Source organism: Homo sapiens, chromosome 9 (assembly GCF_000001405.40).
Source record: "Homo sapiens chromosome 9, GRCh38.p14 Primary Assembly".
Lineage (NCBI taxonomy): Eukaryota > Metazoa > Chordata > Mammalia > Primates > Hominidae > Homo > Homo sapiens.
Window position 1 is genome coordinate 21,943,228 of NC_000009.12, and position 15,363 is coordinate 21,958,590.

A 15,363-nucleotide genomic window follows, 5' to 3' on the forward strand; every position below is an offset into this window, starting at 1 on the left:
CAGATTGATTATTGAGAAAAGTACAAAGGAGCACAGTGCAAAGTTTGGGAGGTGGAGAAGTTTGAGTCAAAAATAAGGAAGTATAGAGAGCATTATTGGGATGATGGGAAGGTAAAATAAACTGGCCAGGATTAATTGCTTCTATTCATATCTCTGCCTGATGAAAATGGGAGTGAGAAGTGTGATGGCTTTAGTCTCAAATGCCTTCTTGAGAAAGGCCAAAGAATTTAGACTGCCCAGTCCAGAACAATGTCAGTCCCAATAGGTATAGTCTCTGTTCTCCTGGCCAGAACTAGAATCAATTACTGGCTCCATCATTCACTAGATGTGTGCGTTTGGGCCAGTTACAGTACCTCTCTAAGACCGAGCTTTCTCATTCTTAAAATGAGTATAATAATAACACTTAGTTGAGGAAGCTTGTGTAGTACGTCTCAGTATCACTATTGAAGGGCTGGAGGATTCTCATGCCCTCGATAAACTGTGTGATCTCTCAGATCCTCTATTTTCTGATTTTAAAACTGTCATAGTAATGCTTTAGAGTACTGTAATAACAACTTATGGAGATCTTATTTATAAAAAGTAATTTGAGAAATAGAAAAGTAACACCTAGTTACTTTTTTCCTAGTTATTTTGGGCCAGGATTGTGTTCTGTGACTGTGTCTAAATGCACCATGAGAGGACGCCCAGGGAAGGCACCTCCACTCCATTCTATCTCATTCCTCTTTCCTAGTGTGAGTTCATCCTGTGTGCTGATTTATTTTCCTTAATCCACCTGGTCCTATCAAAGGGCCATTTCAGTTAGTTGCTCCACTTCAGTTTATGGGAGATAAGTCTTGTCCAGATTTTCCTAATGGCCAAAAAAGTCAAATCCTTATCCTCTTTGGGCTTTACTCAAAAATGCTTGTTCAGTTAGGGCTCTAGTTTTATTCCCCAGAGATTCTGCATGTTTTATACTGATCTTGCCAGGGCCTTCATCTTTTGGGCTAGTCTCTGGAAAATCTACCTCTGGTCCTGTGCACTTTTCCCCCTCTAGATTCTAGAAGGAAAAGCAATGAATAGCGTCTCCCACAAAGATATTTCCAAGACCTAACCCCCAGTACCTGTGAATAGTGAGAGTAAAATGATTAGTGGCTGCCAGAGGTTCAAGAGAAGGAGAGAAATATTGAATAGGTGAAGGACAGGGGATTTTTTAGAGCAGTGAAGTTATTCTGTATACTGTAATTGTGTATGCATGACATGTTTTTTCATAACCCATTGGACTTTACAATACAAAGAATGAACTTAAGGTATGCAAAATTTAAAAATCACTTAGGAGGGGGCAGGGCCAAGGTGGTAGATTAGAAGCAGCTCATGTGTGCTGCTCTCATAGAGAGGAAACAAAAGGGCTAGTGAACATTGACCCTCCAGGCTGATCATCTGAAAAACCATGCTGGGATCCATCAAGGCAGTGGGTGAACACAGAGTACAGAGATGAGCAAAGTTGGGCACCAGCCTTTCAGGACTCAGAGTGAAGCCAAGAGAACCTCTCCAACATGGGAAAGGGTGAGTGAGTGAGAGCCCCCAGAGGAATTCACACTCTGCACAGGGACCCACACAAGACTTGGAATGGGAGAATCCCCCTGGACCCCCTGGACACCTGCCACCACCATGCTCCTAGACTGAGGCAGAGAGCCAACTAGATGTTTTGCAGGGGCAACTCTTGAGTCCAAGGGGACCTCTACAAGCCTTGGCCCCTTGAGTAGACCAGCACTGGTTCCACAGCCCCAAAAGAGGCCACAGTTGCAGTGCCTGGGAGAAGTAAGATTGCCCCGCCCCCTCTTGCTGGACAGGGCTTGATGGCAGCTTCTGGCCCAGCAGTCCCACTTCAGCCTGAACTTGTCTGGCCACTCCAATCACCCCTCACCACTGGTATCCTGGCGGGCAACCCTCGATAGAGCTTCCAGCCCAGTAGTCCCACTTCTGTGTCAACTTAGCCCATGGACACAGCCTCCTGTTGTCCCAGGAAGCACTCAGACATTAGGGCAGGAGAATGTACCCATCCTCACCACTGATAGCCAGGTGGCCCAGTGCTCCTACTTCAATGGGGACTCAGCTGGAGGGCTCAGCCTCCCATTGTCCCAAGAAATGCATAGACAGCAGGGTGTGTAGCCCCAACCATCCCTGCCACTGGTAGACAGGCGGGCAATGCCTCCTAGACCTTCTGGCCCAGAGGTCCTATATCTGTGGGAACTCAGCCAGTGCGCACAGCCTCCTGCTGTCCCAGGAAGTATCTGGATGGTAGGGTGGGTGTCCCCAAACACCCCTGCTGCTGGAAGCCAGGTGAGCCATGCCTGTTAGAACTTCTGGCTCAGTGGTCCTACTTCTGCCAGAATTTGCTGAGGGTCACAACCTCCTGCTGCCCTGGAAACACCCAGAGAGCAGGGTGAGCAACTCCACTCACACCTGCCTCCCATAGCCAGACAGGGCCCACCCAATAGAGCTTCCAACCCAGCAGTTCTGTTCTACCTGCACTCTGTGAAAAGGCACAAGCCCGTGTTTCTCCAAGAAGCACATGGATAGTATATTAGTGCTGACTTGGCAAGGATACAGCTTGTCTGCCAACAGCAGCTCCTGCCTGAGGGAACACCATGGACCCGAAAACCCAACAAAAAACATAGGCACAGAGACAGTAATTGGAGGGGGCTCCTCCAAGACCCAGGAGTGGACTAGAATTGAAACCAGTCAACCAAAGCCACCTTATACAATAATGAAACCCCCAAGGGCATCAAAGAAGAAAAAAGCAAAAAAAAAAAAAAAAAATCCACTCAAATTACAGCAATGTTAAAGACTGAAAGAACAACAGCCCATACAAATGAGAAAGATCCAGCACAAGAACTCTGGCAACTCAAAAAACCAGAGTGCCTTCTTTACTCCAAGCAACTGCACTAGTTTCCCAGCAAGGGTCCTTAACTAGGCTGAAATGGCTAAAATGATGGAAATAAAACTCAGAATACAGATAAGAATGAAGATCATTGAGATTCAGACAATGTTGAAACCCAATCCAAGTAAGCTAAGAATCACAATAAAATGATACGGAAATTGATCGATGAAATAGCCATCATAAAAAAGAACCCAACTGATCTGATATAGCTTAAAAACACACTACAGGAATTGCACAATGTAATTACAAATATTAACAGCAGAACAGACCAAGCTGAGGAAAGAACCTCAGAGCTCAAAGACTGGCTCTCTGAAATAACTCATTCAGATAAAAAATTAAAAAAGAATAAACAAAACCTACAAGAAATAGAAGATTATGTAAAGAGACCAATTATAGGACTCACTGGCATCTATGAAAGAGATGGGGAGAAAGCAAGAAACTTGGAAAACATATTTTAGGATGTCATACATAAAACTTCCTCAACCTCATGAGACAGGCTAACATTCAAGTCCAGGAAATGCAGAGAACCCCTGCTGACATTACACAAAAAGACCATCCCCAAGACCCATAATTATCAGATACTCCAAGGTTGAAATTTAAAAAAAAAAAAAAAAAGACAAAGGCAGCTAGAGAAAACGGGCAAGTCGCTTGCAAAGGGAATCCCATCAGGCTTACAGGAGACCTTTCAGCAGAAACTCTACAAGCCAGAAGAGGTTTGGAGCCTATATTCAGCATTCTTTTTTTATGAGACAGAGTCTCGCTGTTTCACCCAGGCTGGAGTGCAGTGGTGCGATCTCGGCTCACTGCAAGCTCCGCCTCCTGGGTTCACACCATTCTCCTGCCTCAGCCTCCCGAGTAGCTGGGACTACAGGTGCCCACCACCATGCGGGGCTAATTTTTTTTTTTTTTTTTTTTGTATTTTTAGTAGAGACGGGGTTTCACCATGTTAGCCAGGATGGTCTTGATCTCCTGACCTCGTGAGGAGGTCCTCCTGACCCGCCTCGGCCTCCCCATATATTCAGCATTCTTAAAGAAAAAATTTACAATCAAGAATTTTACATCTGGCCAAACTAAACTTCACAAGTAAAAAGAAATAAGATCATTTTCTTACAAGCAAATGCTTAGGGAATTCATTACCAACACACCTGCCTTATAAAAAGTCCTGAGAGGAGCACTAAATATGGAAAGACCATTACAAGCCACTACAGGAACACATTTAAGTACACAGACCGATGACACTGAAAAGCACCCACAGAAAAAAAAGTCTGCATAATAATCAGCTAAAAGCATGATTACAAAATCAAATCCACACATATTAGTACTAAGCTAATGGGCTAAATGATCCAATTAAAAGGCGCAGAGTGGCAAGCTGAATAAAGAAGCAAGGCCCAATGGTATGCTGTCTTCAAGAGAACCATCTCACATGCAGTGACATCTATAGGCTCAAAATGAAGGGGCGGAGAAAAGTCTATGAAACAGAAGAAATCAGAGGTTACAATCTTAATTTCAGACAAGATGGACTTTAAACAAACAAACATCAAAAAATATAAAGAAGGGTATTATATAATACCCTTCAATTCAATGGTTCAATTCAACAAGAAGGTATAACTCTCCTAAATATGACAGACATCTAACACAAGAGCACCCAGATTCACAAAACAAGTTCTTAGAGACCTACAAAGGGACTTAGAACCCCCACACAATAATATTGGGAGCCTTCAACATCCCACTGACAGAATTAGACAGATCATCAAGGCAGAAAATTAACAAACATATTTAAGACCTGAATGCAATACTTGACCAAAGGGACGGAATAGATACCTATAGAACTTGCCATCCAAAAACAACAAAAAATACATTCTTCTCATTGCCACATGGCACATACTCCAAAATCAAACACAAAATTGGACATAAAACAATACTCAGCAAATTAAAAAAAAAACAGAAATTATACCAACCACAATCTTAGACCACAGCACAACAAAAATAGAAATAAGTTCTAAGAACATAACTCAGAACCATAAAATTACATAGGAATTAAACAATCTGCTCTGGAATAACCTTTGGGTAAACAACAAAATTAAGGCAGAAATAAAGAAATTCTTTGAAATTAATGAGAAAAAGATATAACATATCCAAATCTCTGGGAAACAGCTAAGGCCATGTTAAGAGAGGGAAGTTTATAGCACTAAATACCCACATCAAAAATTTAGAAAGATCTCAAATTAACGACCTAACATCACAACCAGGAGAACTAGAGAAGCAAGAGCAAAGTAAGACCCCAAAGCCACCAGAAGACAAGAAATAACCAAAATCACAGCTGAACTGAAGAAAACTGAGACACTGAAAACCATACAAAAGATCAACAAATCCAGGAGTTGGTTATTAGAAAATATTGATAAGATAGATAGACTACTGGCTAGACTGATAAAGAAAAAAAGACAGAAGTTCCAAATAAACACAATTAGAAATGACAAAGGAGACGTTACCACTGAACCCACAGATATAAAAAAAAACATTGAAGACTACTATAAACACTTTTAAGCACACAAACTAGAAAATTTAGAAGGCTGGGTGTGGTCGATCACGCCTATAATCCCAGCACTTTGGGAGGCCAAGGAGGGTGGATCACAAGGTCAGTAGATCATGATCATCCTGGCCAACATGGTGAAACCCCATCTCTACTAAAATATAAAAAAAAAAAAAAAAATTAGCTGGGCCCAGTGGCATGTGCCTGTAGTCCCAGCTACTTGGGAGGCTTGAGGCAGAGGAATCACTTGAACCTGGGAGGCGGAGGTTGCTGTGAGCTGAGGTTGAGCCACTGCACTCCAGCCTGGTGACACAGTGAGACTCCATCTCAAAAAAAAAAAAAAAGAAAGAAAAAAGAAAAGAAAATTTAGAAGAAATGGATAAATTCCAAGACACATAAACCAGGAAGAAACTGAATCCCTAAACAAACAAACAATGAGTTCCAAAGTTAAATCAGTAGTAAAAAGCCAACTGTATTAATGCATTCTTATGTTGCTATAAAGAAATACCTGAGATTGGGTAACTATAAAGAAAAGAGGTTTAATTGGTTAACAGTTCTGCAAGCTGTACAGGAAGCATGACAGCTTCTGGGAAGGCCTCAGGGAACTTTTAATCATTGCAGAAGGCAAAGGGAAAGCATGTATGTCTTACATGGCCAGAGCAGGGGGAAGAGAGAGAGAGGGGAGGTGCTACATACTTTTAAACAACCAGATTTGTGAGAATTCTATCACGAGAACAGCAGTAGTGGGATGGTGCTAAACCATTAGAAACCACCCCCATGATCTAATCACCTCCCACAAGTCCCCACCTCCAACACTGGGGATTAAAATTGAACATGAGATTTGGGTTGGTTCACAGGTATAAACCATATCATCTACTAAACATAAAAAGCCCAGGACTACACAGATTCACAGCCAAATTCTACCAGATGTAGACAGAATAGCTGGTGCCATTAATAATGAAGCTATTCCAAAAAATTGAGGAAGAGGGACTCCTCCCCAACTCCTTCTGTGAGGCCAGCATCATCCTGATAACGAAACCTGGCAGAGACAAAACAAAAAAAGAAAACTTCAGGCCATTATCCTTGATGCACATAGATGCAAAACTCCTCAACAAAATACTAGCAACTGAATCCAGCAGCACAGTGTAAAGCTAATCCACCACTATCAAGCAGGCTTTATCCCTGGGATGCAAGATTGGTTTAACATAGACAAAACATATGTTTGTGTGATTCATTACACAAACAGAACTAAAAATGAAAACCACATGATAATTCCAATACATGCAGAAAAGGCTTTTGATAAAATTCAGCATCCCTTCATGTTAAAAACTCTCGATAAACTATGCATTGAAGAAACATACCTGAAAATAATTAGAGCCATGTATGACAAATCCACAGACAACATCATACTGAATGGGCAAAAGTTGGAAGCATTTCCCTTGAAAACTAGAACAGCCAGACACGATGGCTCATGCCTGTAATCTCAGCACTTTGGGAAGCAAAGGCAGGCAGACCACTTGAGCCCAGGAGTTTGAGACCAGCCTGGTCAACATAGGGAAACCCTGTCTTTACAAAAAAATAAGAAAAATTAGCCAGGCGTGATGGCACACACCTGTGGTCCCAGCTACTCGGGAGGCTGAAATGGGAGGATCACCTGAGCCTGGGAGCTCAAGGCTGCAGTGAGCTATGATCACACTACTGCACTCAAGCCTGGGTAAGAGTGAAACCCTGACCAAAAAAAAAAAAAAGAAAAGATAAAAGAAAGAGGCCAGGCGTGGTGGCTCAGGCCTGTAATTCTAGCACTTTGGGAGGCCGAGGCAGGCGGATCACCTGAGATTGGGAGCTCGAGACCAGCCTGACCAACATGGAGAAACCCTGTCTCTACTAAAAATACAAAATTAGCGGGCGTGATGGTGCATGCCTGTAATCCCAGCTGCTCGGGAGGCTGAGGCAGGAGAATCGCTTGAATCCAGGAGGCAGAGGTTGCAGTGCGCTGAGATTGTGCCATTGCACTACAGCCTGGGCAACAAGAGCAAAAAAAAAATAAAAATAAAAAATAAAAAATAAAAAAAAAATAAAGAAGAAAGAAAAGAAAACTGGCACAAACAAGAATGCTCTCTCTCACCACTCCTATTTGACATAGTATTGGAAGTCTTGGCTGCAGCAATTAGGCAAGAGAAAGAAATAAAAGGCATCCAAATAGGAAGAGAGGGAGTCAAACTATCCCTGTTTCAAATGACATGATTCTATACCTAGAAAACCCCATAGTCTCTGCCCCAAAGCACATTAATCTGATTCACATCTTCAGCAAAGTTTCAGCATACAAAGTCAACATACAAAAGTCAGTTTCATTCCTATACCCCGATAGCTTTCAAGCTGATAGCAAAATCAGGAACACTATCCCACCACAATTGTTATAAAAAGAACAAAATACCTAGAAATACAGCTAGCCAGGGATGTGGAAGATCTCTACAACAGGAATTATATAACACTGCTCAAAGAAATATGAGATGATGCAAACAAATGGAAAAACATTTTATTCTCATGGATAAGAAAAATCAATATCATTAATATGGCCATAGCGCCCAAAGCAATTTACAGATGCATTGTTATTCCTAACAAACTACCAATGCCATTAGTCACAAAACCTAAAAAAATAAAAAAACTGTTTTAAAATCCATATGAAACCAAAAAAGACCCTTATAGCCAAGGCAATCTTAAGCAAAAAGAACAAAGCTGGAGGCATCACGTTACCCAACTTCAAACTATGCTACGGGGCTACAGTAACCAAAACAGCATGGTACTGGCACAAAAACAGGCACATGGACCAATGGAACAGAATAGAGAGCCCAGAAATAAGGCCACAACCACTGGATATTTGACAAAGCTGACATCATTCTACCATAAAGATACATGCACACAAATGTTCATTGCAGCACTATTCACAGTAGCAAAGATGGGAATCAACCTAAATGCCCATCAAAGGTAGATTAGATAAAGGAAATGTGATACATATACACCACATAATACTATGCAGACATAAAAAGGAATGAGATCATGTCCTTTACAGCAACATAAATGGAGCTGGAGGTCATTATGCTAAGCAAACTAACACAGGAACAGAAAACCAAAATACCACATGTTCTTACTTATAATTGGGAGCTAAAGGATGAGAACACATGGATACTAGGAGGGGTACAACAGACACTGGTGCCTACTTGAGGGCGGAGGGTGGGAGGAGGGAGAGGATCAGAAAAAATACCTGTTGGGTATTATGCTTATTGCCCAGTGATGAAATTTTCTGTACACCAAACCCTTCTAACACACAGTTCATCTATATAACAAGTCTGCACATGTACCCTTGAACCTAAAATAACTATTACAATAAGTAAATACATATTTTTAAAAATCATTTAGAATGTCAGAAAATTCCAGGATTGTATTAGTCTGTTCTTGCACTGTTATGAATAAACACCTGTGACTGGGTAAATTTATAAAGAAAAGAGGTTTAATTGGCTCACAGTTCCACTGGCAGTACAGAAAGCATGACAGCTTCTGGGGAGGCCTCAGGAAACTTTCAATCATGGTGGAAGGCAAAGAGCAAGCAGGCATGTCTTACATGGCCAGAGCAGGAGGAAGAGAGAAGGTAGACGGGCTACACACCTACACAACCAGATCTCGTGTGAACTCTATCACAAGAATAGCACTAGGAGGATGGTGCTAAACCATTAGAAACCACCCCCATGATCCAATCACCAGACCCACAAGGACGCACCTCCAACATTGGGGATTATGATTGAACATGAGATTTGTTTAGGGACACAGATCCAAACTATATCAAGGATAGAGTGTAGAATATGACAAAATAATCTAACTGTATTACAAATGTGTGAAACAACCTCACTGCAGGTGGTGGTAAAAGAAGTGCAGACCTAAGTAACTTTTGGAAATTAGTGGAGTCTGTAATACTAAATGAAAAACTGTTTATAAACGCCACACTCTTGTTTTTCACAGGGATATGGGTTAACAATTCTAATACTTCTATACGTGTGTATTGGAATTGAGCAGTTAAGTAAATTATGGTAAATTGTGGGTAGTGAGGCTGGTTTCTCTCTGCTGGAGTGAGAGTTTATGCCTAATCAAAGGGAGGGAGCTAAAATAATCTCTGTGGTAATGGATTACAGTTGGATATATTAATATTAAATCATATTTGGCTTAATGTAGATACACATGGCTACATACACGTACACATGGCTACATATAGACACATATAGATATGTGTACATACATGATTAGTATACACAAACGTTCCCTTCCATTGACAAATGAGAAGGCCTAGAAGCAACAGTACCCCAGTAGTAACAAGCACATCTGGCATCCAGTTCATGGTTTGTAATAGCACTCTGCAATAAAGGGAAACAGGGCTTCTTAGAAAAATTGGTGTTTCTAGGACTAGGGCAGGAAATATACATGATGAGCCTGTAACATTTTGTAGTGCCAGAAAGGAAAGAAGTGCTAACAACAAAAACAAGCCCACAAAGATGGGGCTGTGTCAAATAGATGTACTGAAAGAGCCAATACCAAGAACTCCTGACGCCAAATCTGGAACACTTTGGGGAAACAAATAAAGCAGTATTGAATTGTAACACAAAGTATAAAATAAATAGCCATGAGTCTACACTAATATAAGTAAATAAGTGAATAAATAAATAAATGGGGGCAAAGAAACAATCTTCCATGCAGAAAAACTCCAAATGATTTATGTAGATATGCCAACCTAAAGGAGATAAAGCATAACTCCTCACTGTTTCAGTTCAGGCCACACATAGTGACTTTCTTCCAAAGAGTATAGTATGAAAAAGGGAAATAAAAGAGTAACTTGTGATGGAAAAGCCTGACAAGCACAAATTACCTCAGCAGAGTGATCAGGGTCAACATAAACAGTAATAAATCATATCAACAGTATGTTCTCTTGATATGATACGATGAAAATCATCTAGTCATCCTTTTTTTTTTTTTAGATGGAGTCTTGCTCTTGTCACCCAGGCTGGAGTGCAATGGAGTGATTTTGGCTCACTGCAACATCCACCTCCTGGGTTCAAGCGATTCCCCTGCCTCAGCCTCCCGAGTAGCTGGGATTACAGGCGCCCGCCACCATGCCCAGCTAATTTTTGTATTTTTAGTAGAGACAGGGTTTCACCACTTTGACCAGGCTGGTGTCGAACTCCTGACCTTGGGTGGTCCACTCTCCTCATCCCCCCAAAGTGCTGGGATTACAGGCGTAAGCCACCGCGCTTGGCTGAAAATCGCCCTTAACCTCTGTAGTCTTCTTCCCCAAAAAAACATTATCCCTGTCTAATAATGACAAAGACATCTAACAAATCCCAAAAGATAGATATTTAAAAAATACCTGACCCATTCTTCTCAAACTGTCAAGATGACCAAAGCAAGGAACAACTGAAAAGCTGTCATAACCAAGAGGGGCCTGAGAAGACATGATGATGAAATGTTATATGATATTCTGGATGGGTTCTTGGTTTGCAAAAGGGAATTTATGCAAAAACTAAGGAAATTTGATTAAAACATGGACTTTCAGTTATGGTAATGTCTTGATATTGGTTCATTAATTGCAATAAATATACCTTGCTAATGTAATATATTCATAAAGGGGAAACTGGGTACAGAGTTAATGAGAACTCGCTAGACTATATTCTAATAGTTCTGTAAATCTAAAACTATTGTAAAAATCAAGTTTACTTTAAAAATATTACTGACTGTCTTGGTTCTGTTTTACTACTTTTTTTTTTTCTTTTTTTTGAGTCAGGGTCTCCCTCTGTCACCCAGGCTGGAGTGCAGTGGGGTGATCTTGGCTCACTGCAACCTCTGCCTCCCGGGTTCAAGCAATTCTCCCACCTCAGCCTCAGAGGTTTGAATAATACTTCTTTGTTTTAATCATTCAGCTCAGATTAAAAACAACGCCTAATTTCTTAATGTCAACTATTGCCTTGCCCTCTGTTATATCCTACCTTCTCCCATTCGTTATAGTCACTCTCTAGTATGGTATTGAGTTGGGGATGTGCATCTGCCCAACAAATTTTTATATTTTTTGTAGAGATGGGGTTTTGTCATGTTGCCCAGGCTAGTCTCAAACTCCTGAGCTCAAGCAGTCCGCCCACCTTGGCCTCCCAAAGCGCTGAGATTACAGGTATGAGCCACATTGTCCAGCCATTTCCATTTACTTTTCTTTCCCATTGAGCCCAATTCTTAAAAACATCCAGTGGCAGCTTAGCTTGGGTGTCTTGGCTCAGCTCTGGAGGTTTGAATGATACTTCTTTGCTTTTCTTTGCTTTAATCATTCAGCTCAGATTTAAAAATTTCTTAATGTCAACTATTGGCTTGCCCCCTGTTATATTCTACCTTCTTCCATTCGCTATCCTAACTCTCTAGTATGGTATTGAGTTGGGGATGTGCACACACAGGCAAACACACACACATACACATCCCCATACATATACAGTGGTGTGCTGAAACTGTGTCAGACCAGCTAGAGAGACCCAATTGTTAAATATTCAAGAATGAGGCAAGCCAGTTATTAAGCACATCCATTATTAAAAATTAAAGGATAAAGTTACAATTAAGTAAATCATATTAAAAAGAAAGGTTATAAATAATATCATTACTTCTATTTATTTTACTATTATCTATACTTTTTGAGGTTAAGTCTACTGTATTTCTATAATGGAATTACTACATACTGGTGTGCTACTTCTTGATTCCGTATTTGGTGATGTCACCCTGATATGACATCATATCATTGATATGATATGAAATAGACCATGGGTGGAGTATTTGTACCATGGATATTGAAAAAACTTAAATCAGAGCTTGAGTTATTGTTTTGTTGATTTTCTACTTTAAAAAGATGGATGTGCTTAATAACCGGCCTTAAAAAGATGGGGGAAAATGTTATCACGGTTAATACTGTAGGTTAAGCTCTAAAATGTTTGTAGCTGTTACATTTGAATAGCACAAAATATTGAGGAATATTCTTTAAGTGTTTGAAAACAGTTTTAAACTCAGCAAAGAGGTTAACTGATATTGTTAACAAGATTCAACTTCATTCAATTCTATTGTTATACTCTCATCTTACTCGTCAATATAAATGAAAATGTCAATTGATATTCATTTGAGAGTTACTCTCATTTGTTAATTGCAACCATAGGTTAACTAAAGATACAAGAGTTTGGCTAAATCAGTGAGAACATTGTATGAGAATAAGTTCATTATACAGAATAGAGAATATTATATATTTTATTATTATTTGTAAGTTTTGTATTACATATCCTTTATGTCAGTAAAATTTATAATAAACATGTACATATTTATTTTTTGCAGTTTGTTATTAAACAGTTACTAGCAAATTGCTATGTACACACATTCCTTATCAAAAATGTGGGAATTATTTGCAACATAAATGAGAACATATGAGGTTATACGTAGTAGGTACAATCTTAAAGAGACAAACCACAAGTATGATTGATACTTCCACTAGACATCTTGTCAAGAGAATTATATTCCCAAATAAGTATCACCAAAAATTTTGTTGAAACTAGACCTTTCCACAAGCTATGGGCTCCTATAAATACATATTTTTACCAGAGTTTCTTCATCTAATTAGGTTTTTAAATTGTGGTAAGAATAAGATACAGATAAATGAATTAGATGCAGCCTGGCCAATATGGTGAAACCCCATCTCTACTAAAAATACAAAAATTAGCTGGGTGTGGTGGCAGACGCCTGTAATCCCAGCTACTCGGGAGGCTGAGGCAGAAGAATTGCTGGGAGCCGGGAGGCAGAGGTTGCAGTGAGCTGAGATTGCGCCACTGCACTCCAGCCTGGGCGACAGAGCGAGACTCCAACTCTTAAAAAAAAAAAAAAACAAATCAATTAGATGTATTAATTAGGAATCTGCTATGAACTGAATTGTGTTCCCCCAAGATTTACATGTTGAAGCGCTAACCTCCAATGTGGCAATATTTACAGATCGGGCCTTTAAAGAGGTAATTGAGGCTACAAGAGGTTGTAAGGGTGGAGCCCTAATCCAGTAGAACTGGAGTCTTTACAAGAGGAAGACACACCAAAGGTGCATGGGCACAGAGAAAAGGCCATGTAAGGACACAGTGGGAAGGGGCCATCTACAAGCCAATGAGAGAGGCCTCAGGAGAAACCAAATCTGTCAACATCAACATCTTGATCTTGTACTTCCAGCCTCCAGACTATGAAAAAACAACTATTGTTTGAGCCGCCCTGTCTGTGGTATACCATGTACCATGGTGTTTGTAGGGAAGCCCTAGTAAACTAAAACAAAATCTTAGATTGTAAGTAATAGAAATCAACTGTAGGTAGATTATAGCAGAAAGAGGACAGAAATGCAGGTAAAAGTTACAACTGGAAACTGCAGTGCTATAGGAAGCCCAAGATGTTCTCTTTTTCTGTATCTCCTCTCTGCTATAGCCTATCTATTTTATTCTGAACATCTTTATTCCACACATCTTTATTCCACAGCTATACTGTCCAATATGATAGTCACAAGGAACATGCGGCTTTTTAAATTTAATAAAATTCAGTTCTTCAGTCACATTAAAGATATTGCAAATATTAAATAGCTACATATGGCTACTGTGTTGGACACTGTAGATATAGCACACCTCCATCATTGTAGATAGTTCTTTTGGACAGCACTGGATTATAGGATTACCAGAGATCAAGGTAAACTTCCCTTGAAGTTGAAGGTAAACTTCCATTTAACCATTAGGACACCTCAGCTGTATCACTCCCTTTTAAGGCCTATATTTAGTTTTGAATTTATAATTTTTTATCATTTTTCTTAGGGACTGATATCACCAGTGACCTCTAGGGAAAGGATTAGTAGTGAGGAGAAACATTATTTTGTATTGTTTGAATGTAAATACATCCATGTACAAACTGCATAATATTTTTTAAGGTATTGGAGTTTTGTATTGCTCATCATTGTATCCAAACACCCAGTATAGTACCTTAACAGGTAATGTTAGGAAGTCGAAGAGATGGACATACGGTTAATGCTAAATCCTGTGATGGTGAGAAGATGCTCTGGTTATGCCTAATTCTTTCTGCTTCAAGCCCAGCTAGGTCTGGGAATTGCTTGGGGAAACTGGAAGCCTGAACCAGAGGACTGTGTGCATGTGTGCATGCGTGCGTGCGTGTGTGTGTACTGGTAGGTAATAAATAACTACTGTGTATCTGACACTATGGTAGTTTATACTTTTTATGTCTACTCTAAACAACAACACTACAAAGTAGTCACCCTTGTACCCATTTTATAAATGAGGAAACTAAGACTAACTCATTTATCCTGGTGTGTTCTTTTTTCTTTTCCTGTTAGTGCAATTTGACAGTTACACAATTGTTACTAAATAGAATGTAGCCAGTTCTAGAGAAACTTCATTCTACCAGTGTTTATTTTATTATTTTATTTTTTATTAGATAATTCATACTCTTGGATCAAAAACTGGTAGCAAATTGTATTTAGCACGAAGTAAATCTTCCTTCACACACTACCCTCAGGCAACCGTCAACAACTTCTTGTGTGTCTTTACAGAAATATTTTATGTGTATACAACACATATACGAATATTTCTAAAATTTAATTTGGAGTATTTTACATACTCCAAATCTTTTTTTTCACTTGACAATATATCTTGAAAATCATTATATATTACTAGATCTGCTGAATTTCTTTTAATAGCTATATGTTATTTGTTGTAGGAAAGCCTCAAAATTTATTCAAATCCCTACTCATTTATGATTGTTGTTTCATATCTTTTGTTATTACAAAGCTTCAGTGACCATTCCTATAAATAGGCCATTTTGC

The 15,363-nt window shown here is 39.7% G+C and overlaps 1 annotated feature.

Annotated features, from left to right (window-relative positions):
- Positions 450-509: a silencer, noted in NCBI's record as "silent region_19810". NCBI's record gives its function as "represses an Ori minimal core promoter by ATAC-STARR-seq in GM12878 lymphoblastoid cells {active_cell/tissue: GM12878}" and the evidence as "EXISTENCE:reporter gene assay evidence [ECO:0000049][PMID:35858748]".